A 23,763-nucleotide genomic window follows, 5' to 3' on the forward strand; every position below is an offset into this window, starting at 1 on the left:
GATCCAGGGTCTGGGAGAAGGTGGGCAAGTTCAGGTCCTGACCACAGTGCAGCTTGGCTGACTTGACACTGGCAGCCCCCAGGGCATCTTCTTTATTCTTAGGTATCTTGCACTTTTAGGGGTCATAAGGTGGCACCCTGGGCATCTCACTTGTGTGTGTGTGTGTGTGTGTGTGTGTGGTTGTATGCATATGTGTCTCACTATAGTGCTTTTGTGTCTCTGGTTTCCTTTCCAGATAAGTGATAAAACTTCTCAGGAGAGAGATCGAGGAGGCTGTGGGGTGGTTGGGGGTGGTGGCAGCTGTAGCAGCGTCGGGGGAGCAAGTGGGGGTGAACGGAGTGTTGACCGGCCCCGCACCTCTCCTTCCCAGCGCCTGATGTCCACACACCACCACCACCACCACTTGGGGTACTCATTGCTCCCAGCACAGTACAACTTACCCTATGCAGCAGGTAAGCCTGTTTTCCCTACCACCTGTTGTTTTGTCTTGTTTTGTTTTGTTTATCTTCATCCCAGTAGTAATGTCCACAGCTAGGACCCTCCTACCTGCCTCATAAGAATCCTTTTTTAATTTTTTTTTTTTGAGCTTCTAATCTGTGCACAGTCCTAACCTCCTGCAGTCATTAAAGCATATGATATTTATTCCTCCCTTGGAGTTTGGGGACTCTTAAATTCCTCCAGAATACTGGCCTTGATAGTCAGAAGAATATGGAACAGGTGTTCCCCAAAGGCAAAGAGAAACAATCAGCTGAGAAATAGAGCCTTATTATCTATCTCCAGCAAATATATCTGGCTGAGTATCAGATTTTTTTTTCTGTCAGCACCCCAAAACTCAGGGAAAAAGATTAATGGAAGGTTTCTGTGAGTGCTACACTAACATGTTCTCCTGCTTATTCAGGGCTTTCTTCTACAGCCATTGTTGCCAGCCAACAAGGCTCAACTCCCTCACTCTACCCACCCCCCAGGAGGTGAGAATGGTAAGTCACTTTTATTAATTTGGGGCAACACATAAAGCCGGGATAGTTGCTACCTGGATCACAGAATCCCTAGGTGAGAAATAGCTATGAGGGGTCAGCAGTCTGGAATCCATGGAACCCTGGCCAAGCCTCTTGTACAAGAGTCTCCCGTGAAGCCATGTGCATCTGAGAGGACCTGTGGAACACAGTGTCCCCTAGGGACCAGTACTGGCCACTCCTACAATTCATTTTCTTGGAGTGCCACCTTGTGGTTTTTTTACCAACAGGCTGAGTGCCTGGTTATCTGTCCATGTTTCCCTTGCAGACACCAAGTGCCCGGATAAAGTCAGCTTCACGGGCCCGGACTGGCTTACCCAAGGAGGTGCTGAAGGTGCCGTTTAGACATCAGTTAAATGGTGTTGATCATCCTGTTTGCCGTTTCCACCATGACTGAAGGCAGACCCTTGGCTATCTCACCTCCACCAGACCTCCGGACTACCTGACCCTACCTCTTCCTCAGGAGCTGGAGAGCTGGTACTTAGCAAAAATATTTATTCTCTCAGCCACAGTTATGACTATTGTGGCCTCTGTGGAGATGAAGGCACGGGAAGCAACCAGGGGAACATGGCCTCAGCCCAGAGAAGCCACTGCTCTGTTCCCCAAGCCCTTGGTCTGCTGCTGGAGCAGTACCAGCCCCCCCGCCCACCAGGGAGGGACCCCCACCCCCAAGCACTGGGTAAGGTCTGAAGACAGCACAGCAGCCATACCCCTCACCATCATTACCACCATCACCAGATTCTGCATCTCCCTAGTGCTTTGCACCCTGGGAATTGGCAGCATGTGGAGGAACTAGAATCTCAGGAAAGAAATTGGGGGTTGTTTTCTACATAATTGTGAAAACAAGGTCTTCAAATGTGGAGACTTCTCCCCATTTACATGAGCACATATAAACGCTCACAACCTAGCCTGGAAAGGAAGACCAAGGCATCTGCCCCAACATGGCCTTGAGCTGCCTGTGAGGCAGGGGGCAGGGGTTCCAACACCAGCACAGGGCTCCCCAGGGACACTGGGAGCAAGCTGGTGCTGGAGCATGAATGACGTCTGTGAAGTAGAACCTGCGTCCCCACTAAGTCCTGCTGCTTCTTATTCCCCAACTCCTTGCCCTTTTCCCTTCCCTCCTAACCCCTTGGTGCCTTTCCCAGGGGGATCCCCACACTGGTCTTGCCTCTTCTTTTCCACTGCTTGGCTCTTAAGCCTCAGGCAGATAAACTAGTATTCCCCCCAGCTTGGGGAACCTTGGAGTCTGCCAGGTCACCTTAGGGCAAGGCCCAGAAGGCAGCCCCTGGGAGCACCCAGCAGTTCTTGGAGATGTCCTGTCATCTAGCCATCTGATATCTTCCTCATTTGAGGCCACAGATATATACAGCCCAATTCCTCTGTCTACAAGTACATGATTTTATATAGCTCAGTCTATAACCTCCATGTGGGCCAATATAAGCTGTGTTTCTTGGTAACACATATTTTGTTTGAGGGGCCACTGGCCATGGGAGGTTATTTGTTCCTTAGACCCTGGAATAACACATCCAAGCCATTACTTATTAGAGTCTCAGAATGTACTCAGTGGAGCTGTGCTTTGAGGCAGCCAACATTTCTCTGCTCTCCTTAGAAATGCAGTCTCCCAATGGAAGCTTTATACTCTTTGTACTGGGAAAGTGAGGATGATTTGGTAGCTTTATTGGGGTCATGTCTTCCCCAAGGTGTGGGGAGCTTAGCTTACTTGGCTTTTGAGGTATCATCCCTCTGTTCTCCCCTCCTATCTTTCCATGACCCTCTGGATTGAGAGAGAGAGATAAAGACTGACAGACACCAGTGTAGGCTGGAAAAGGGAGTGTGTGACCAGAGTGCCAAAAGTGACTAGGAGCAGGAACTTGGCTCCGACTCAGTTTGGAAAATGGGAAATAGGGGACAGTAAGCACAATGCCCAGTAGTAGTTGATTTCCAAGGACCCTGGAACCCTACACTTGAGAGGCTTAGGGTCACCATCTGCTCAAGAGGATCCCCTCTGATCTACAGGCCTTTTCCCTAGGTTTCTGCCTCCTCGTTTTTGTTCAAGTTGGGTTCTGAGTCCTCCCCAAAAACCATTGTTTTAGACCTCTTGGCAGGGCCCCAAAACAGCCTCCCTCATACCCATCATTCCCTCTGCCTTCTGCTGCCCTCATGGGCAGTGCTCTGAGCAGTGACCTCCCTTTCCTCCGTGGAAGTAGCTAGTGCAGACACCGTCATCCCACCCCACCTGAGTCACCCCAACCAAGAGGGTGACTGAATTTCAGCCTGATTATGCCCTCCTGGGGCTCCTGTGAGGTGGAGCCAAGGTTCCCTCTCTGTTCCTGTTTGTTTTTAAATATTGTTGTGTGTTTTGTATCTGTGGCACTGGCCTGCAGCATACTCTGTATATATTGTAAAGAAACCGTTAGGAGTAATTTTCTTTTGCATTGGGCAGGCATGGCCCTGCATTCCTGCCCTTTCCACTCATTCTGTAACACAGAGGACGAACTTCTGTATTAGCTGGGCAGCCTTGGGTTCTCCAGAAGAGAACAGGTTTTTCTTTTCCTTTTTAATTTTTCTTCTTAAACATTTGGCTCTTTGATCCTCATATCCAAGTCTCCCCTGAAGAGTAGGAGCTGCTCAGAAGAGCAGGTGAAAGCCACCATGGCAGATCCTGATGCCTGCCGGGCCTAGTCTTCCCTCTGAAATAACATGAAGCAGCAGCTGTGGAGATTCTTGACAAGTGCTGAGTGAAAGATTTGCTGCCCACCTCTACATGGGGAGGAGAAACACAGGTGGGAGCTACCTGTGGCATCCATGACCTAGTCAGAGGGATGAGATGCTCAGCAGGGGTCCCCATCCTATCCCACCCCACAAACAAAGGCTGGAAAAATTTGCTACCAAGGGCCAAGACCACCAGACCAAGCCTGTTTATGAGCCACCCCTGCCCAGGCCCTCACAGACATTGCTCACGGGGCTTCCCATAGAGGAGAAGCTAAAGAGGGAGGGGGCCTCATCCCCAGATAGATCAGGCAAGGCTTGGAGAGCTGCTCTTTAGGATCCACATCAACTACTTCCTCATTTTAAGGTATGGCAGTTCCCTTCATCCCCTTTTCCTGCCTTGTACATGTACATGTATGAAATTTCCTTCTCTTACCGAACTCTCTCCACACATCACAAGGTCAAAGAACCACACGCTTAGAAGGGTAAGAGGGCACCCTATGAAATGAAATGGTGATTTCTTGAGTCTCTTTTTTCCACGTTTAAGGGGCCATGGCAGGACTTAGAGTTGCGAGTTAAGACTGCAGAGGGCTAGAGAATTATTTCATACAGGCTTTGAGGCCACCCATGTCACTTATCCCGTATACCCTCTCACCATCCCCTTGTCTACTCTGATGCCCCCAAGATGCAACTGGGCAGCTAGTTGGCCCCATAATTCTGGGCCTTTGTTGTTTGTTTTAATTACTTGGGCATCCCAGGAAGCTTTCCAGTGATCTCCTACCATGGGCCCCCCTCCTGGGATCAAGCCCCTCCCAGGCCCTGTCCCCAGCCCCTCCTGCCCCAGCCCACCCGCTTGCCTTGGTGCTCAGCCCTCCCATTGGGAGCAGGTTGGGGCGAGCTGGAGGCCCGGGCTGGAGGGGCAGTGTTGCTGTTCATAGATTTTGTTCCATTGGCGTTGCTCTGTTGAATTTAATTTCAGTCTTCCTGATTCTTCCCTTCTGTAAAGTGTACATTACCAAGTTCCTTGTTTTTTTATATATATATATAAATATATATATATACAAACTGTACTCTTTTTGCCTTTGTACATTCAGGCAAGAAGAGAAAATAAATCTTTTTAAGAGACAATCACAAATCTGTGAGGGCTGCTGGTTATTTCTCCTGGAGTTTGCTGCTGAGCTGCCTCTTCCTTCCTCCCAATTTTCCTGTTCTCCCTCAGCTCTCCTGATCTTCCTGGCCCTGCTCCATATGCATCCTCAGCTTCACTTTCCCTGGCTGATGGCAAGCTGTTGAATCCAGTGTCCAGACTACCTGCCTTGTAACCCTTTTCTGCCCAGCATTGTTTTCTGGCTTGGCCACTGGCTTAGCCCAGGAGCTTTACTCTGTGCCCTGGCCTCCCCTCTCTTCACCTTTAGATTTCCATTCACCGAAGTGGCTTTGGACCCCTGGGTACTCTGGGACCTGTTTCCTGGAGGCCCTGGCTTGGGACACTCACCTGTGAAACTATGCAGCTGGGAGCTCTCTGCCTAAGAGTTTGCACTATTTAAACCTGCCTGGGAGTTAGGACGGATGGTTTTAGGAATGACCGGAAAACTACCCCTAAAACTCCCCCGACATTCCAGCCTCTAGAATGCTCTGATCCAGAGCTCAGTGGATGATTCCCAGCTGGTGGACTCCTGTGGCTACCCCATCAGAACAAGGGCTAAGGGTTTATGGGTCAAGAGTATTTGATCAGAATTTTAAAGGGTGGTATACTCTGAAACACAGCCCAACCAAACCATTGTTTGGCCGCTTTCTCTTTTCCTCTACCTTCCTCATCCCCACTTTTTTCCCTTTCTCTCTACTTCCTCTTCTTAATTGGCTTTGGAATTGAAATATATTTTTAAATTATTTGTTGTATTTATTGAATAAAGTTTTTAATGTCCCTGTTCTTAAATTTAGACTTAGTTTGCCTTTCACACACCACCCCCACCCCCAAAATATTCTACCTTCTAAGTTGCTTTTTAAACTGTAGTGCAGCCTTTTGGGTACCATATTTCTTTCCTGTCAGTGGTCTTCAATAGCAAAAGTTTTTTTTGAAAAGGGAAATCTTGACTGGGTGATTTTTTTTTGAAGAGGGAAATCTTGACTGGGTTTCCAATTTAGCCTTTGTGACTCTAGCCGTATTGAAGAGGAATCACCAATAGGTGGCAGCAGAATCTCAAGCATGTTTCTTGGGAAAAAGTAAGGGACTGAGTTTTGTCTTGGTTCTTTTTCATCTGTCTTGTCGATTCCTTGTGTTTGTTTAATATCTGCATCCTAAACTGCCAGCTGCCTCTAGGAATTACCTGCCCAGTGGGGGACACTTGATTTCAACGGAATGTCTCTAGTCCCAGACTTGCTCTAATAACATTTGCCAGGCACGGTGGCTCACGCCTGTAATCCCAACACTTGGCGAGGCCGAAGCGTGGGAATCACTTGAGGCCAGGAGTTCGAGACCAGCCCGGGCAACATGGCAAAACCCTGTCTCTACTGAAAATACAAAAAATTAGCTGAGTGTGATGGTGGGCATCTGTAATCCCAGCTACTCAGGAGGCTGAGACAGGATAATCACCTGAACCCAGGAGGCGGAGGTTGCAGTGAGCTGAGATTACACCACTGCACTCCAGCCTGGGCGACAGAGCGAGATTCCATGAAAAAAACAAAAACAAAAAAAAACTTGGGATTCGAGCTCATTACTTTTAATGAATACAAGTTAGAGTCCAAGATAAATGACTTGGCCCACAGTGAAAACACAAGCAGGCTCCATAAAGAGCAATGTGAGAGCCACAGCTTAACAGTAGACAGTTGCAAAAATGTAGGTGGAAGAACATGCCCTTCAATTGGCAAAACAGAAGCAAAAGAAAAAAAGTGCCAGTAAATCCTTGAGAAATTAAAAAAACTGTGGTGAAGAGGATTCCAGCCCCCTTGGTACCACTGAGAGCTTATTCATCAGGCTGTGGTGTGGGGGACTGGAAGCCACACCTTAGGACACTGAGCTCCAAAAGGGGAAAACTAGAACAGGGAAGGTGTGTGCTGCATCCTTCAAAGACCTCAGGAATGGGAATGTCAGGAGCTCCATGCAAAAGCCAAAACCCAGTATCAGGACCCAACCTCCCCAGCCTTTTACAGAAAAGGAAGAGCTAAGAGCAGATTGGATCTTGGGTATAGCCTCTCCTAGATGAAGCTGATATGTACACATCTCTCTCCAGGGGGCTCTGGCAGTAAGTCTCAGACTCCTAGCAACCCCGCATTTCACAGTGTAATATGGCCCCAGAGAGAGACCTCAGCCAGTTTATCTGCCCTCCTACACTGCAGTTTTTTTCCCAAGGAGCACGCACCACACCTCTATTTATTAGGCTCTGGAGTCAAAACAGTTTGGTAGGGAGTTGGTCCTAGTTCAGAAATAAAGAATAGACCAACCACAACTTTAAATCAGTTTATTGACACAGTAACACAACACACTTGCCTCCCTGACATCCCCGTCCCCCTCACCCAATCTAGATCTCTCCCCCTTGCTCTCCCCTTAGAAAAAGCTGTTTAGTGAAAACAGTTAAGGGCAGGCCACTTCTACACTCCCAGCGCTACCCTAGGCCCTGCAGAGCAGAGTCTCAGACACTACTCGGAACCTGGTGGGGAGGCAGCTAGTACTATACTCAGCCAGCCAGAAGTATCCAGTCCCTAAGAACGGATTGCCCCACAATTCCCAGGCCCTGAGTTGCTATATATTCCTCTTCCTTACTGCTGTTTGTGACCCCAAGAAGGAGACCTTGGGGCCTGGGCCTGCAGCCAGGAGCAAGAACTCCTGGCAGTGATTTGAGAATTAATTAGAGTTTGGCTAGTGTTTTAAAGGCCCAGGCATCCCCCAAAAAAGCCCTGGTGGTGGGAGTAAATTTCAATGCCCCTATTTAAAATGTACTGATAACATTAAACAGATTAAGCCAGCTTAACCAAATGCCAGAATAACACTAAGCTGTAAAGAAGGAGGGGTCGGACCTGCTTACTCCAGGCCAGACGCAAATGCACACAGAGAAGCCCAGGTAAGAGTGTCAAAAAACAACTCAAGGACACTGCCCAGGGACTGAAAAGCCTATACTCAGGAGCCCCTGGGGTGACAGGAAGCAAAGAAAGAAAATACACAAGTCTTAATAACCAAAACAGAAAGCCAACAGCAGGGAAACCTGAGCCTGACAGTGCTGCCCACCAGCCCTCCAGGCCATGCCCCTGAACCCAGACAGTCCCTCCCCCTCTAGGCAATGTCCTCCCCTAGGCTAGATAGAACACATCACACAGCGCAGTTTAGAAAGCTTCTAATGCCAGTTCATAAACATCTTCATTTACTATTGGTGATTACATGTGAATAATATGTTTATACTGTTCTTTATGGAAAACAATTTCAACGAGTCAACTCCGAGAACACAATAGGCAACCCTCACCCTGAGCCCCTCAGTGTCCTTCCCTAGACAGCGAGGAGCCCTCTCGTCTGTCCCAGGGCTGCCTAACTTCCCCTCTTCCCCCACTGTGGCTCTTGGGTAAAGCATCCTCTATGACTATTAGTCCTCATCGGACAAGTTCTGGTCCAGGGGATAAACCATGAACATCACATCTGGCCGAGAGGGGACACAGGGATGGCCTGGACGTACAATCTCAAAGCCCAAGAAGCTGAAGGTCTTCAGGAGTGGAGCTGCAGAAGACAGAGTGTAAAAAAGTCTGATGAGAAACACAATGGTAGGCTGAAATCAAAACCCCAAACAAAGATGGAACAAATAAGCACTAGGCTTTTACGAGCCCTTCAGGCACTTGCCCTCCTGCCATGATTTCCCAGGGTTTGAAAGGCAAATTCAAGAGTCCCACCTCATCCTGGAGGTGCTCCCTTCTCTCCCCCAGGCCCCACTGTCTGGGCTGTAAGGCTCAGGCCACTCTGACTCCTCACCTCTGTCTTCTCGGCCCTTCCTGAAGCAGATGAAGACATAGTTCACTTTCATCTTCTCTTCAGCAAACTCTAGCAGTGCTAACAATCTGCAGGAAGCAAAGAGAAGTACTTAGGCCCATCACCACCTTCCTAGACCTCCCTCCCATTCACACCCCACCCCCACCCCTACCAACCCAAAGGCTTTTCTGAGGCCTACAACCAGCAATATAAATACAGAAGCTCTGGGCTGGGCACAGTGGCTCACACCTGTAATCCCAGCACTTTGGGAGGCCGAGGCAGGTGGATCACGAGGTCAGGAGATCAAGACCATCCTGGCTAACACGGTGAAACCCCATCTCTACTAAAAATACAAAAAACTAGCCGGGCGTGGTGGTGGGCGCCTGTAGTCCCAGCTACTCGGGAGGCTGAGGCAGGAGAATGGCATGAACCTGGGAGACGGAGCTTGCAGTGAGCCGAGATCGCACCACTCCACTCCAGCCTGGGCGACAGAGTGAGCCTCCATCTCAAAAAAAAAAAAAATTCAGAAGCTCCAGGAGGAAGATTCCTATGTCAAGACCCCAAGAGCCTTGAATTTTGGAAAAAAAAAAAAAAAAAGCCACAGCGCCTGAGAAAAATGTTACTAACTTTTCTCTTCCTGCAATAGGAGATCTGAAAGTAACACTACCCATCTTAACTAATGCTGTCCACAAGACAGAGTCTGGGGCCTAGAAAGAAAACCCAGTTCTTCAGGTGTCCCACAGATTGCCAAGTCTGATATGATCACCTGCCACTGAGAGGGACACTCTGGGCTCTAACACTGCCTAAAAGGATTTTCTCAAGAGGCTGGGACCACTCAGGAACTCTGTCCTCAGGACATTTCTTACCCATCTTGGCTGCTTGGAGGGTCTTTGCCCAATCCAATGAAATCCCACTTACCTCTGAGCTTCCTGGGTGGGGTGTGAATGGGAGGGAGGTCTAGGAAGGTGGTGATGGGCCTAAGTACTTCTTTTTGCTTCCTAGCCTTTTAAACTACAGTACTGTGTAGCTACAGGGGGATTTAGTGTCAGAGTGAACCATGGGGCGATTAACCGGCAGGCATTTGGTTAATGTGATAACAATCTGCTTTAATTATAACCTAGAGCAGGCCTGTCTTACTGGCTAAAAATAACCTGTTACAAAACGGTATCTGCTTGGGGAGTCTAGAGCTAAGGGAGAAGGCACAGACTCCCCTACAATTCTGTTACCCACAGTAAACATATACTCTTCTCTGGAATGGGACCTCCTTTCCCTCCCCAGCATTTGGCTCTTTACCCTTCTTTGCTCCCATCAGCTAATAATCCATCTGGGATTTCTACAAACAGGCTCTGGCTGGACAGGACTGCATCCCAAGAAGAGACCTTCACCTCGGTGACCTCATACTGGAAGTGGACGATGTGAGGTTTTCCATCATTCACAGGGAGGTCCTGGGTCACAGTGAGCTTCTCGTCCTGGGAAGGAAAGCAGGGCAGAGGACCAGGTCACTACTGCTTCTGGCCATATCATCCACTCCCTAATCTAGGCGATGCTGGGAGTCCCCTTAGGCCAGTGTCAGGGTAGCGTGGGATAGAGGCCATGCTGAAAACGCAGAGCTTCATGATGGCTAAAAGGAGCTGTCACTCACCAGGCACTAAGACCAGTTGATGGTGGTAAAAGCTAGCAAAACAGAAAGGGAAATATTTACCTAAATTGTCCACTAGGTGCCAAGTACAAAGTGCTGTCCCATATATTACCTTTATCATCATGACAAGCACTTGAGATGGTAATTAACAACTCCACTTTAAGTCTGAGAATAATGAAGCAACTGACCCAAGGCTCCAAAGACAGTGAATGGCAGAGATGAGATTCAAACCCAGGTCTCCCTGACTCGAAAGCCCACGCTTTCCCCCAACACCATGTTCTTTTCCTTCCCTGTCAGAAAGGGAAATACCAAAAACAAATGAGGGTATGTATGAGGGTTTGGCTGGAGCCCCAGTCAGCCAAAGTCTGATTCCAAGTGGACTGCAGGGTCCGTGTTATCTCCCTTGGGCACAATCTCAAAAGCCCAGAATTCAGCTGCCTTGCTAACCTTCCATCCCAGTCTTAGTGAGAAGCTAAACTAACTTCTGGGCCTCAATTACAGCAGATTAAAAGGCAACAAATGGTGCTGATATCTCTCCTCTAGTATTCCCAATAAGCCATGCAACAGCCTCAGCTGAAAGAGTCCTTCACAGTCCCCCCACTGGCCTAGGCTAAGAGCCAGAAGACTAAGAAAGTGATTATTCCCCTTGAGCAGCAGCACAGTGGAGTCTGAGAAAGCTCCAACCCCAGCCTTCCATCCCAGGGTCCTCCTTACCTTATATATTAGAGCTGAGAGAGAAGGATCCCTGCCGCCCCCTCGCCCACCGGGGATCTTCGACAGTGGGTGAGGGGCATCAGGAGCACCACAGAGGCCCTGGAACAATGTGCCTGCAGCACTGGAGCTGGGGACAGTTACTCAAAGGCAAAATACTACTGCAAGAGACAGAGAGGGTGAGACAGTAAACACCAAGACTTGACGATTTTTTTTTTTTTTGAGGCGGAGTCTCGCTCTGTCGCCCAGGCTGGAGTGCAGTGGCACGATCTCGGCTCACTGCAACCTCCACCTCCCAAGCTCAAGCGATTCTCCTGTCTCAGCCTCCCGAGCAGCTGGGATTTCAGGTGCACGCCACCATGCCCAGCTAATTTTTCTATTTTTAGTAGAGATGGGGTTTCACCATGTTGGCCAGGCTGGTCTCGAACTCCCGACCTCATGATCCACCCACCTCAGCCTCCCGAAGTGCTAGGACTATAGGCGTGAGCCACTGCGCCCGGCCAAGATGTAAAGATATAACTCAAATCCCACCCCCACCCCATCCTGGCTCTCTCTAAACAAGGGAAGGCTTATGAACGCTCCCAGCTGCCCCAGTCCTGTGGGCTTCAGCTTCCAGAACTACGCTGCTGTCTTAAGGGGAACCCACCGTGTTGCAAAGTCATGGGGAGGAAGTCTCAGGAGGGCCAAGGGACTCCAGCTGGGTTTATTTGACCGGAGGAGCACCTAGCAATCTTCTAACAAATCACTGTGGCACTGGGCAGACCTTGGAAATCACCAGGTCCTGGCTTACCTGCCAAGCCTCAAACCCTGTGCCAGTCTCTTTTCATTTCCCTATGGTGCCTCAACCACCTATGTGGCAGAATCAAAAAGGCCCACAGTTACAGGCTGGAGAGGGGAAGTCATATGGTCTGGGTACCCTGTTCCTGAGGAACTCTCAAGGCTACTTCCCCAGTGATGGCCCCATCCCCCTTCTGAGCAAAGGAACTGGGGTGAGAAACTTTTTTTTTTTTTTTTTTTTTTTGAGACAGAGTTTCACTCGTTTCCCAGGCTGGAGTGCAGTGGTACGCACTTGGCTCACTGCAACCTCTGCCTCCCAGGTTCAAGTGATTCTCCTGCCTCAGCCTCCCAAGTAGCTGGGATTACAGGCATGCGCCACCACGCCTGGCTAATTTTGTATTTTTTAGTAGAGACAGGGTTTCACCATGTTGGTCAGGCTGGTCTGGAACTCCTGACCTCCAGTGATCCGCTGGCCTCAGCCTCCCAAAGTGCTGGGATTACAGGCATGAGCCACCACACCCAGCTGGAGTGAGAAATCATTTAACCAAATCCCTCAATGGTTAAGAATAAAACTAAATCCAGGGATTTGGCTCCCAGAGCAGAGGTACACAATAGTACATAGAATACTGTGATGTCTGATTTGCCCCTGGTATGCACCAAATGCTGGGCCTTCTTGCCCTTCTTTGCTGATCCTTTCGTGACCTGAGCGTGGGAGGTCACATAATAGTGATGTGGTCAGAACACACACTCAGATGTGCTGGGTGCAGGCTATGTGCTGGGAGAGGAGGATACGTGCTATGACCTGAGTAAAGAATCCAATAATCAGACAGATTATAGCAGGTAAAAGGCTCCTAAAAGAGCTGTCACCTTACTGGCCACCTTGATTTTCGGATGGACCCAACAGGGCTGTAGATCTGCTCAACTGTCTTTGAATCCAATTTAGTGGTTCCTTAGACTGAGATGTAGTTCATTCCCTAGGCCAAGGGCAAGTGAAACAGAGAAGGAGGTAAATTGTGTGTGTGTGTACACACCACGACTCAGCAACAGGCCTGTTCCCCAGCCACCACACATCAGCCTCAGAGCAGCTGGAATGCACTGGATACATTTAGCGGGTATTGCAGTGGTGTGCTGGGGCCAGCTCACACAATCGTGCACATCTCTTGCCAAATATGTGTTTAATGATGTCATGTTGGTAGCCTGAATTGGCCAAAGGAGGAGTATTTACACTGCGAAAGTCCCCAAATGCTGTAAGTCAGGGCTTTTTTTTCCCTGAAAGCCATTGTAAAACGGTGTGAGGTAACTATTCTTCACACTGTCCTTTGCTTTATATAGCATGGCATGCCAATTTTGGATTCTTCTAAATGAAGAGCAACAAAACTGAATTCACACCTAACATGGCAATGGTACAGTAACCAAAGGGGCAGTCCTATTAGCAGAACTGTATCTGCACTCCAGCTGAAAATGCAAGTCCAAACCCGTCACTGCTCAGCTCCTAGGGTCTGTTCTCTCAAAGATTTCAACTGGGGGCCTACAAGTATACTTGGAAATTTCTTTGAGAAATGGATTTCCCAGGGAAGTGTCCATGGGTGAGGAGCAGCATCAGTATCTAGGGGTGCACTTTGGGAGGCCGAGGAGGGAGGATCACTTGAGCTCAGGAGTTCAAGACCAGCCTGGCCAACATGGCGAAACCCCACCTCTACTAAAAGTACAAAAATTAGCCGGGCGTGGTGGCAGGTGCCTGTAATGCCAGGTACTCAAAAGCCTGAGGCAGAAGAATTTCTTGAACCCAGGAGGTGGAGGCTGCAGTTAGCCGAGATTGTGCCACTACACTCTAGCCTGGGTGACAGAGCCAGATTCCTCCCCCCCAAAAAAAAAAAAAAAAAATCTAGGGGTGTAACCACATATCTACCTCTTCCCTCCTCTGGAAAACCTCAGGTCATCCTCACCTCCTCCACTCTCGGCCTCATCAACAGCTGTTAACAGAAAAGGCTGAACTGGGCGCAGTGGCTCATGCCTGTAATCCCAACACTTTGGGAGACAGAGACGGGTGGATCACTTGAAGTCAGGAGTTTGAGAGCAGCCTGGCCAATATGGTGAAACCCCATCTCTACTAAAAATACAAAAAAATTAGCCGGGTGTGGTGGTGTGCACCTGTAGACCCACCTACTCAGGAGGCTGATGCAGGAGAATCACTTGAACCTGGGAGGTGGAGGCTGCAGTGAGCCAAGATTGTGCCACTGCACTCCAGCCTGGATGACAGAGCGAAACTTCAGCTCAAAACAAAAACGGCCAGGCGTGGTGGCTCACGCCTGTAATCCCAGCAGTTTGGGAGGCCAAAGTGGATGGATCACCTGAGGTCAGGAGTTTGAGACCAGCTTGGCCAACATGGTGAAACCCCGTCTCTACTGAAAACACAAAAATTAGCCGGGTGTGGTGGAGCGTGCCTGTAGTCCCAACTACTAAGGAGGCCGAAGCAGGAGAATCGCTTGAACCCGGGAGGTGGAGGTTGCAGTGAGCCAAGACCACGCCACTGCACTCCAGCCGGAGCAACAAGAGCAAAACTCTGTCTCAAAAAAACAAAAACAAACAAAAAAACAGAAAGGGCTTAACAGAGGACTATGCTACTGTTTTCAAGGACAGGAGTTATTTTCTGCTGGGGACAATGAGCTATTGTGATTCCCCCTTCCAATGTGTTAAGGGGCAGAATAACAGTGTCCAGACTAGAAAAAATAAGACAAGAGTTTGGTGAGGGGAGTTTCCCCAAGCAAATGCACACACATGCACCACATCATATGATTCCGTTCTCATTCCCCAATGATCACTTCTCTGTGCTGAGGTTCCTGCAGGGGCATAAGGAGGGCTGGACCACGGGAGAAAGCTGGTTTGCTTCTATTGGTCAGTGGAGCTACCCAAAGATGGGGCAAACCCCTCTGGGATAGACAGATTATCATCTTGTATACAGAGAATTAATTAGGTTCACAAAATAACCCTATCAATCACCAAGCCCTTGCAATTCTAGAATTCTGGTGCCAGGCTCCTACTTCCAAAGGAATTATTCCTCAAATGGTCTTTAGATGAGCGAGCTGCATTCAACCTCTGCCCTGCATCCCAACTACCATCTTGATTCTTAGCTAATTTTTACTTGCAAACAGCAGAAGCAATGGGCCAACTCACTGAAAAGACAAGAATAAAGTGAGGATTTTTTTTTAGACCATAATACCCTTTGTCTTCCTAGAAGTAATCCCTGGAGCCTGCCTGCCCTGTGTCCAGCACTAATCTATGAGCTTGTGATATTTCTTTCTTTAAGCTAGTCATATTTAGCAGTGGGGCTTGTGATATTTCTGGTTTCCTGATCTCTCTCCTCTTCAAATAAACGCAAGATATCTACGCCATGGTAACATGTCATTTACTTCCCCATTCTCACATACAAGGATCCTGGAGGCTCTCTGCTCCTCCCCCATAAATCTGCGCAGATAAGCAAGTGTGTGTGTGAGTGGGGGTGGAGGGGTGTTTCAAGCCCCCACTCTGGGAACTAGTTCCAGTTCCCTAAAAGAAACAGCTGGGGTTTGCGATAAGTTTAGTAGACAGTAGATCACAATAATTATCTTCATCGTCCACATAAAGCATCTGTTATTAGTTACTTGCTGTGAATGGCAAATTGCTTCTCTTCCAAAAAACCTGTCATTTCTGAAGTGAGAAAGGAAGGGGGATGGGTACGTATGTGGTAGTTAAAGACATTAAGGGGCATGAAATTACCCAGTAATGGCCTTCTCTTCTGATAATGGCTTTAGTGTTCAAATGGTATTGAAGCTACGCCACCAAGCTCATTAGGAATAATGAATCCTGGAAGAATTTAAGCACAACAGACAGTGACTTCTAAACACAAGTCTTCCTATCATAAGATCCAAACCAGGTTGGGTTTCATATTCAGTTTAGTCTTGTTTCTAACTGGCTCCTATCCCCAGCTTTTTCCAATCCTTCCTCACCTCCTGGTCACACCACTTGAGGGCAGGCATTGTTTAATCTCAACCACCTAAAGGATGATTTAAGAAACAGGCTGGGCATGGTGGCTCATCCCTGTAATCCCAGCACTTTGGGAGGCTGAGGTAGGAGAATTGCTTGAACCAGGGAGGCGGAGGTTGCAGTGAGCTGAGATCGTGCCACTGCACTCCAGCCTGGGTGACAGAGCGAGACTGTCTCAAAAAAAAAAAAAAAGAATCTCAGTCCTTTTCAGAGGCTGAAAAGATCAGGCTGATTAAGGAAAATCAAATGTATCAGACCGAACCCAAACATCCAGCTGGGCTGGTCCTGCTTTGGAAGAGAAAAAAATACATATATCCCATGCCAGAAACTAAGGTGTCAGGTATCCAGCATACAAGGCAATTCGGAAGAGAGATGGAAGATTAGAGCCAATCTGTTAGTGCCTTTTATTTTCTCAGTGATAGGACATGCCCTTGGAAACACTCCTCAGAATACATATGAGTGCTACTAACATATCACATCCTGCTGCCTCTAATTTAAAGTGTCTGTGAAACTGTTGTCTGAAATGCCCTTAGCAGGTTACAATTTCACACACTGACTACAGACAGGCAGCGTATGCAGCAGATGTACAGCTGGGCAATGATGATGGTAAATAAAATTTTTATAATTCAAATGCTATTTCTAAATCTCTAGGGTACTTACTATTTAGAATTAACCTTAAGTCTCTTGATAAAAGTAAAGGATCTTCTGTTAAAGAATCACTTCCAGCCGGGCGCAGTGGCTCACGCCTGTAATCCCAGCACTTTGGAAGGCAGAGGCAGGCAGATCACAAAGTCAGGAGATCAAGACCATCCTGGCCAACATGATGAAACCCCGTCTCTACTAAAAATACAAAAATTAGCTGGGCGTGGTGGTACACGCCCGTAGTCCCAGCTACTTGGGAGGCTGAGGCAGCAGAATCGCTTGAACACGGGAGGCAGAGGTTGCAGTGAGCCAAGACTGCACCACTGCACTCCAGCCTGGCAAAAGAGCGAGACTCTGCCTCAAAAAAAAAAAAAAAAAAATTACTTCCAGCTGTCTTTAGTCAGTTTTGATTTACATACAGTTGGTCCTCTATATCCACAGGTTCCACATTCGTGGATTTGACCAACCATGGATCAAAAATACTCAGGAAAAAAATAAACAACAGCATAATAAAAAAAAGTACAAATAAAAAGAGCACTAAAACTATTTACATAGCATTTACATTGTGTTATGCATTATAAGTAATCTAGAGATAATTTAAAGTATATGGGAAGATATATGTAGGTTATATGTAAATACTACACTATTTTATATAATGGACCCTTGGATTTTGGTAAGGGGAAGGTCCTGAAAGCAATCCCCCACAGATGGCTACCAAAAGAGTACAGAGTACACAGAGAAGAGATTCCATATAAAAGTAATTCTGTGAGTAACTTCCACTTAGCTACATCTAAAAAATACTTGAATTCAAATTCTCCTTAATATACTTCTGATCATGTTTCACTTGAATCAGTAGCCTCCTTCGCTCATTCAATTCTGCACCCTTTCTCTCTGGTTTCTATTACCTGTCAGAGAAAGTCAGATGGCCTTGGTATTAGCTACCTTTTGGTATCAATTGAAGACATGAAAACCACATTCCCAACACAGTTCTACATTCATTTCCCCCTCTCAACCTCTTCTGACCCATTCTTGTCTCAGGCCCTGCCTCATAGAACACCCAAAGGTGCCCTCACTTCCCTCATACAGGTAGCTTTTACTCTGAGACTAGGAATGTCTTTGATGACTAATCCCTACGCAAAAAGATGTGCCATCACTTAGCAAAATAGAAAGTAAGAAAGGTGAGAGGGTGATGACCACCTCCAGTCTAGTGTGGCTGTAGAGGCTGATTTCCAGCTACCGATGCCCCTTCCATCTGAGAAAGGGCCCCTGGGCAGATGCCAGGCAAAAGTCATTTCACTAGGGCTATTCTGCGTTCCACAGGGACTCTTCTTGCTAAGCACAATTATAAAGAAAATGACATCACCACTCTGAATCACAGGCTGAAAGCAAAATTGGGTTTTGGTTGATTCTCCACAAGAAACACAGTTATAGTGATAGCTAGAATATCTGTGCCTTTGGGGTTTGCTTATCACACAGCTGATATTGGTACATATGCCAAAGGAACGCACAATCACATATGCTACCAGAGGTGAGTGGATAGCTAGGTAATCAAGCTTTAATATAAGACTTTACTTTTACATATTAAGTACCTCAATCTAGTTTGCAGAGTAAGGTCATCACACAGTGCCAGCCTCTTCCCAGGACAGAATTACATCATTGTTTATATAGTATCAAAGGACTAAGAAATTTTCTTAAGGTTTATCTTATACAAAGCATTTTACACTACTGCTGCTAACCGGACACTACCTGTTTTGTTCACTTTAAGTGACAAAATTCTTGCCTGCCTACTTGTCCCTTTCTTGTCTATAACTTTTTTTTTTTTTTTTAAGAGATGGGGCATCTCACTATGTTGCCCAGGCTGGTCTTGAACTCCTGGGCTCAAGCAATCGTCTCAGCCTCCCAAAGTGCTGGGATTACAGGTGTGAGCCACCATGCCTGGCCTGGTCTGTAACTTTGGCTTCATAACCTTCTAAATCATGGCACCAACTTGAATCAACACTGCATACTCTTTCAAAAAGGGATGAATTACTCATTTTGTTTTTCTAGAAATGCACATTTGTAACATCCCTCTATCCCACTCCTCAGTCCCCTTTTTTATATTTTTGAGCAGCTCTGAGGCTAAATTTGGATTTCTTGGCAGAGTGAGGAATTGCTATTATTAGCCCACACTGCTTTCTGAAGCATAGCTCTGATTTTGGGGGATTCCTGACTATACTAGGAGAGTCTGTGTCTGTCTCTCTCTCTCTCCTCTTTGACTCTCTCCTCTCTCTCTCCCCTCTCTCCTCTCCCCCAACCCTCCTACCATAGAGTGACCTTGAAGGCACATCATTGGAAAACTGGCTCTCCCTACCACCCCATGCCCAACAAGCCATATTGTCAATAAATAAGGAATAACTGAAACCAGACCCTTTAGGAAGAGACAGAAATTCCATTACCCAGGAAACCACTCAGTGAAGATGCTGATAGTTCTGATATGTTCTTATGCCCTGCCCCCTTCCCCCAAAAAACCACCTGCAGAACCAAATGTTTCTCCTCAAAGCCCATCAGCACAGATTGATAATAATATCACTATCAAGCCAGGGCTAGTGCTTCTCTACATACTGTACTGTCACAGGTACAAAGCAAGCCCTGGACAGATACTGTCTCCCTGCCCCCACAAATCCAGGGAGAAAAAGACCAGGAAGCTTGATTTCCTTGGATTTAAACCTCATGTTCAAAAAGGATAATAAAGGTGCTCGTACTTGTATCTTCTTCCCTCCCCCACCATCAGGAATTCTGACATTTTGGAAGTACCAATCAGAATAACACTGGAAAGGAAGAGCCTTGTTTTCAAAACATAGTGCCAGCTCCTCTGCAACTATTTCTTCCAGGAAACCAAGCCTCCACCTCCTGAGTTTTTCACTGGAGCCAGGGAAGCTGAAAATCCCATCCCCCACCCAATGGGAGCTAAATTCCCAGCCAGCTCCCCACTCTATGGATATGAAACACTCGAGAACACTGACTGGGAAGAACATCCGGCTCTTATCAGAATCCCTAGTTAGGACTCTACCAGGATTCCTTTTAGAAAGTTAGGGGCAGGCCCAAGGAATCTAGGAAACACGCTATGGAAATGGGATTGCCATCACTCAAAGAAACCAGACACCCTGCACACAACACCCCACCCCCAGGCCAAGTGGAGGAGCCTGATCCAAGGCCTAGCTCCTACCCAGGCCCTGGCAGGCCAGTTGGCTCCTCTCTCCACCTGCCTCTCATACAGCCAGGCCCCTCAAATTACCAACACGCTAAGCAAGGGCCCTGGAGACAAGCAAGCCTGTTTTGCCACTTAGGAAGCTGGAAAGAATTTTCGAGTCAAGTTAACCCAACCCCCTCTTCTTTTCACATGTAAGCACACTGGCTCAGCCAGAACTCAGGTCTTTCAACCTCACAGTTGGTGAAGACTCTTACATGTTGGTTCCAAGTTGCTCAACTCTCAGGGCTCAGCCTACAAAAGACTCGGCATTTCGACCAGCTCAGTCCAGAGGACTCCAGAGAATGACTGCTGAGACCACCCCACTTTCCAACCCCCACTACAGACACACAAAAAGAACAGAAAAAAAAGTCTATCTCACATACCCCTTGAGTGGGTTTTGTTGTAGGTCTCTCTGCTCCCCTCCACCCCTGTGCTTCATCCTGCCCTCTCTCATACCTGCCATCTATCCTCAGCACACACGGCGCCTTTGCCACAAGTAACACCTTTGCATCCAGCACTCTCCGTGTCTATATCCGCCTCCACCTCCTCAGCTCCCGAGGGGCTGGGTTACAGAAGATGGAGTGAAAGGGGGGAATGCAGAGGGGATGGACATGGAGAGTCTTGGAAAAGGAAACTCTAACAGCTGATGGGTTGTAGGGTAAAGAGAACATGGGAGGCAGGGATAACAGGTCAAATAAGACCATAACAAATTATCAAACGGCGAGTGAATTTTCTTCCTGCATGCAAAGAAGAAATGAGGGGGAGGGCACCAGTTAAGAGTCTGAGACTTGGGGGAAGAAAATGGCCAATGGCTGAGAACTGAGTACAGACAGGAACTTCAGAAGCTGTTGCAGGTATTGTATCTTGGGCACTTCTGGACAGCACCTGAGAGAGAAAGACTAAGAAATCCCTGAAGAAATTGAGCCCAGGAGGCAGAGGTTGCAGTGAGCCCAGATCGCACCACTGCACTCCAGCCTGCGCCACAGAGTGAGACCCTGTCTCAAAAAAAAAAAAAAAAAAAAATATTCCTCGAAGAAAATTAGGCCTTTGTCAGTAGAAAAGGGCTGACACCCACTACAGGAATAGGATGGGAAAAGCTGCAGGAAGGAAGCTGTGGTTTTTAACCCCAGCTTTGCATTATAAAGAATTACCTGGGGAGCTTTAAAACTATATGCTAATAATCAGGACACTCTAGGCCAATGAGACCAATCTTTGAAGGTAAGGCCCAAGTGACTGATTTCTCAAATGTGAAGCCAGGGTAAGAAACACTGAAATACAAGAAAAGCTGAAAACCCAGTTGGAATATTTAAGGCTGGTGCTGTTAACAAGTGGGAAAGGAAAGTTGAGAGACTATTTCAGTAAGAAGAGTGCCCAAGTTTGAGAGGAATCCTGAGTGGCAGTTAGAGGGCTCTATGCAAAGAAAAGCAATAAAGAAGGCAATGCATTTGAGAGGAACTAGTCTAATTCTGAATAGAACATGGCCCAATTTAAGGAAGATTTACAGGGAATGGATCTGCTTGCAAAATAATGAGGCCCAAGTGAGAGGCAGAGGCCATAAGGCCAAATCTGGGGACAAAAGGTCTGGTGTGGGGAACTAATGAGCTTCAGACACGGTTTGGACAGGACAGCAACAAGTTTGGGGAAAAAATGAGGAAGAGAATTAGGTCCAAATTGTAAATGAAAGCCATTCTGATGTATAAGGAGCAACTAGGATTAAAAATTCCGGGGAATTAGGAAATTGTGGAACAGTTTCAGAGAACAGAGGCAGAAATATGGGATATATTAAAATTTGAGGGAGAGATAGGTGAGAAGGGTTGTCTTGGAGAAAGAGAGGCATGTAGAGAAAGGAAAATTGAGGAACTATCTGCAGGGGGAAGGATATACCATGCAAGTTTGGAAAACCAGGGTGCTCGGTCTGAGAAAGATGTGCAGCCTTTCTCTAATTAATGGGGGAAGACTAGGGTCGGGTTTTGAGGGAGGAAATTGCAAAGATCTAGTGTCCAGAATATAGAGCTTGGTTTGAAGGCACTGGAGGTACAGGGGGAAGGTTCACTGGAAGCGAGATGGCTGGGTCCTGTGATCTAATGATCCAAAGACGGGATTCAGTTAAGAGGGGAAGGAGAAGGATGAGTTCCAGCTGAGAAAAGATGTTTAGAGGGTAAGAATGTTTCCAAGAGTGTTGGGGGTATACCATTGGGGCAACAGGATGGAGCACAAGAATCAAACCTGGTGTTTGATAAATAAAAGGAATGGCGCTGGGAGACTGGGAAAATGGGGCCTAACTGGGAGAGGGGTGTGGAGAGGGGAAGGTGGGGGAAAGATGAAGCTGAAGTATGGGACCAGGAGGAAGAGGCTGGACATCTGTGTAAGGACTGCTAGGCCTGAAGAGAATGGGGGGAGGGTGATGAGTGGGGGTAAACTGAGAACTGAAGGATGGAGGTTGACTTTGCGGGGGGCAGTGATATGAGAAGAGTCTGGGTGGGGGGTGCAGTTTTCATCAGGGAGGGAATTCAAAGGGAAGGGTGAAGTGACTTATAAGGGGAGTAAGAAAGATTTGAGGAAGACAGGAAACAATTTGGGGAATCTGGATGCCGGGGAAAGCCCAGTTTGGGGAATGGGGCACAATTCGGTGGGGCTGAAAGAAAAAAGGGGACTTGCTTGGAAGGTTGGGTTCCGGCTTTTGGGGGCTTTAGGGGAGGAGAAGGCCCGGATGAGGGGGATGGGCCCGGCTGAAGAGGGGGCTAAAGGACAGAAGAAGGCCCAGTTGCAGGGCTGAGGACCGGACTAGGGTGGCTGAAGTGGTGAACGGACCTGGCTGGGGGCGGATGGCCCCGCTGCGGGGGGCGGGGGCCGGCTAGGGGTACGTGAGAGGCCCTCTGGAGCAGATGAGGGAGGATGGGGGCGGGGAGCCTGGGCCGGGCCGTTACCTGTCCTGGGTGTTTATCATCCTCGGCGGCTCTGCTCAGGGTGGGAGGAGGCGGCGCAGGGAGTGGATAGATGGATGAGTGGGTGGGTGTGGGGTCACGCGCGCGGGGTCGATCTCTGCGGGCTAAGTCCCTGTCAGGCCGCGGGCCGAGCGCCTCCTTTTGCCTCAGCGAGCGCCTGCCTCCAACTGACCCTCCCCGGCCGCCACCGCCGCCGCCGCCGCCGCCGCCCCGCCCCCGAGTGCCTCATCTGCATAGCCCCACCCCAGCGCCGCGCGGTGTCCTGGGAAACTGGGGCCCACAACAAAGGGCAAAGCACCGCCCCGCCTCCGCGCAGGCGCACCACGGACCGATCGTGGGGGTAGGGCTAGGGGGTCCGAACGAAGGGCAGGCTGTGCAGGAGGCCATGACCAAGGCGGTGGGTCTGCCCGCAGCTGCGGCAGCGCGGCCCAGAAGATGCGTTGTGTTTCCGGTAGTTTTCTGTGAGGATTGACTCAACCTGGTCCTCATCCCTATTCCTTGTTGGCGTGGGGCCGAACAGGGCTGTGCCATTTGGGAGGATATTAAAACAAAATCAGAAATCTTAAGAGAACTACACACATATTAGCACCATTCCTAGTCTGAGTCCAGGCCCACAGATCTGTTATCTCAGCTCATAATGCAGATCAATAACCTCAGCTGTCAGGGTAGATCAACAATCTCAGCATCTCGCACACATCTCATGTCAATCGTCAAGGCTGCTCCAAGCACTGGCTTAGGTCATCTGAAGCCAGAACTCTGTAGATCATGAGCACAGTCACAACAAGACAGTCGTGGAAAGCGTCGTCACTAACTTGTTCACGGTCACTTCAGATCACAATCAGTGCAAGTTACTTCAATCGATCATGCAAGGTTACTAGTTCAGTCACCTCCATTCATTATCCCTACTGGTCCTTATGACAGATTAGTGCCTGAAGGCCACAGTCACCGGTGCGCAGACCCCTCAGATCACAGTCCTTGTAGGTTACAATCACAGACACTTCAACACAATCATCAAAAGCCCCGACTCTGTTCACAGTCAACCCAGATTGCAATCAAGAGAGGTCACATTATCTCAGATCACAGTGGGTCACTCTGTCACCTCAGATTACATCCATTCAGTTATTCAA

The 23,763-nt window shown here is 48.2% G+C and overlaps 2 protein-coding genes across 7 annotated transcripts in view, besides 5 other annotated features; one reads left to right on the forward strand and one right to left on the reverse strand.

Moving 5' to 3' along the window:
* Positions 1–5,658, forward strand: part of ZNF609 (zinc finger protein 609) — a 226,491-nt gene extending 220,833 nt beyond the window's left edge. For all 5 annotated transcript variants that reach the window (XM_047432263.1, XM_047432265.1, XM_017022021.2 and 2 more), the window contains exons 8-10: positions 236–452; positions 899–977; positions 1,282–5,658. In XM_047432263.1, the coding sequence (XP_047288219.1) occupies positions 236–452; positions 899–972 (291 nt within the window). In that variant the 3' untranslated portion in view covers positions 973–977; positions 1,282–5,658. The remainder of the gene's footprint in view (positions 1–235; positions 453–898; positions 978–1,281) is intronic.
* Positions 5,132–5,633: an enhancer, noted in NCBI's record as "NANOG hESC enhancer chr15:64977741-64978242 (GRCh37/hg19 assembly coordinates)". NCBI's record gives its function as "activates a minimal SCP1, AML or CMV promoter by ChIP-STARR-seq in naive H9 embryonic stem cells {active_cell/tissue: H9 hESC(naive)}" and the evidence as "EXISTENCE:reporter gene assay evidence [ECO:0000049][PMID:30033119]".
* Positions 7,164–22,871, reverse strand: OAZ2 (ornithine decarboxylase antizyme 2). Of its 2 annotated transcripts, none has more exon segments than NM_001301302.1 (5): positions 7,164–8,424; positions 8,674–8,759; positions 9,964–10,139; positions 11,024–11,178; positions 22,619–22,871. In NM_001301302.1, coding segments are annotated over 5 exon segments (567 nt in total). In that variant the 5' UTR covers positions 22,639–22,871; the 3' UTR covers positions 7,164–8,293.
* Positions 19,154–19,990: an enhancer, noted in NCBI's record as "NANOG-H3K27ac-H3K4me1 hESC enhancer chr15:64991763-64992599 (GRCh37/hg19 assembly coordinates)". NCBI's record gives its function as "activates a minimal SCP1, AML or CMV promoter by ChIP-STARR-seq in naive H9 embryonic stem cells {active_cell/tissue: H9 hESC(naive)}" and the evidence as "EXISTENCE:reporter gene assay evidence [ECO:0000049][PMID:30033119]".
* Positions 19,991–20,828: an enhancer, noted in NCBI's record as "NANOG-H3K27ac-H3K4me1 hESC enhancer chr15:64992600-64993437 (GRCh37/hg19 assembly coordinates)". NCBI's record gives its function as "activates a minimal SCP1, AML or CMV promoter by ChIP-STARR-seq in primed H9 embryonic stem cells {active_cell/tissue: H9 hESC(primed)}" and the evidence as "EXISTENCE:reporter gene assay evidence [ECO:0000049][PMID:30033119]".
* Positions 22,457–22,676: a silencer, noted in NCBI's record as "silent region_6536". NCBI's record gives its function as "represses an Ori minimal core promoter by ATAC-STARR-seq in GM12878 lymphoblastoid cells {active_cell/tissue: GM12878}" and the evidence as "EXISTENCE:reporter gene assay evidence [ECO:0000049][PMID:35858748]".
* Positions 22,687–23,006: a silencer, noted in NCBI's record as "silent region_6537". NCBI's record gives its function as "represses an Ori minimal core promoter by ATAC-STARR-seq in GM12878 lymphoblastoid cells {active_cell/tissue: GM12878}" and the evidence as "EXISTENCE:reporter gene assay evidence [ECO:0000049][PMID:35858748]".

This window comes from Homo sapiens, chromosome 15 (assembly GCF_000001405.40).
Source record: "Homo sapiens chromosome 15, GRCh38.p14 Primary Assembly".
Lineage (NCBI taxonomy): Eukaryota > Metazoa > Chordata > Mammalia > Primates > Hominidae > Homo > Homo sapiens.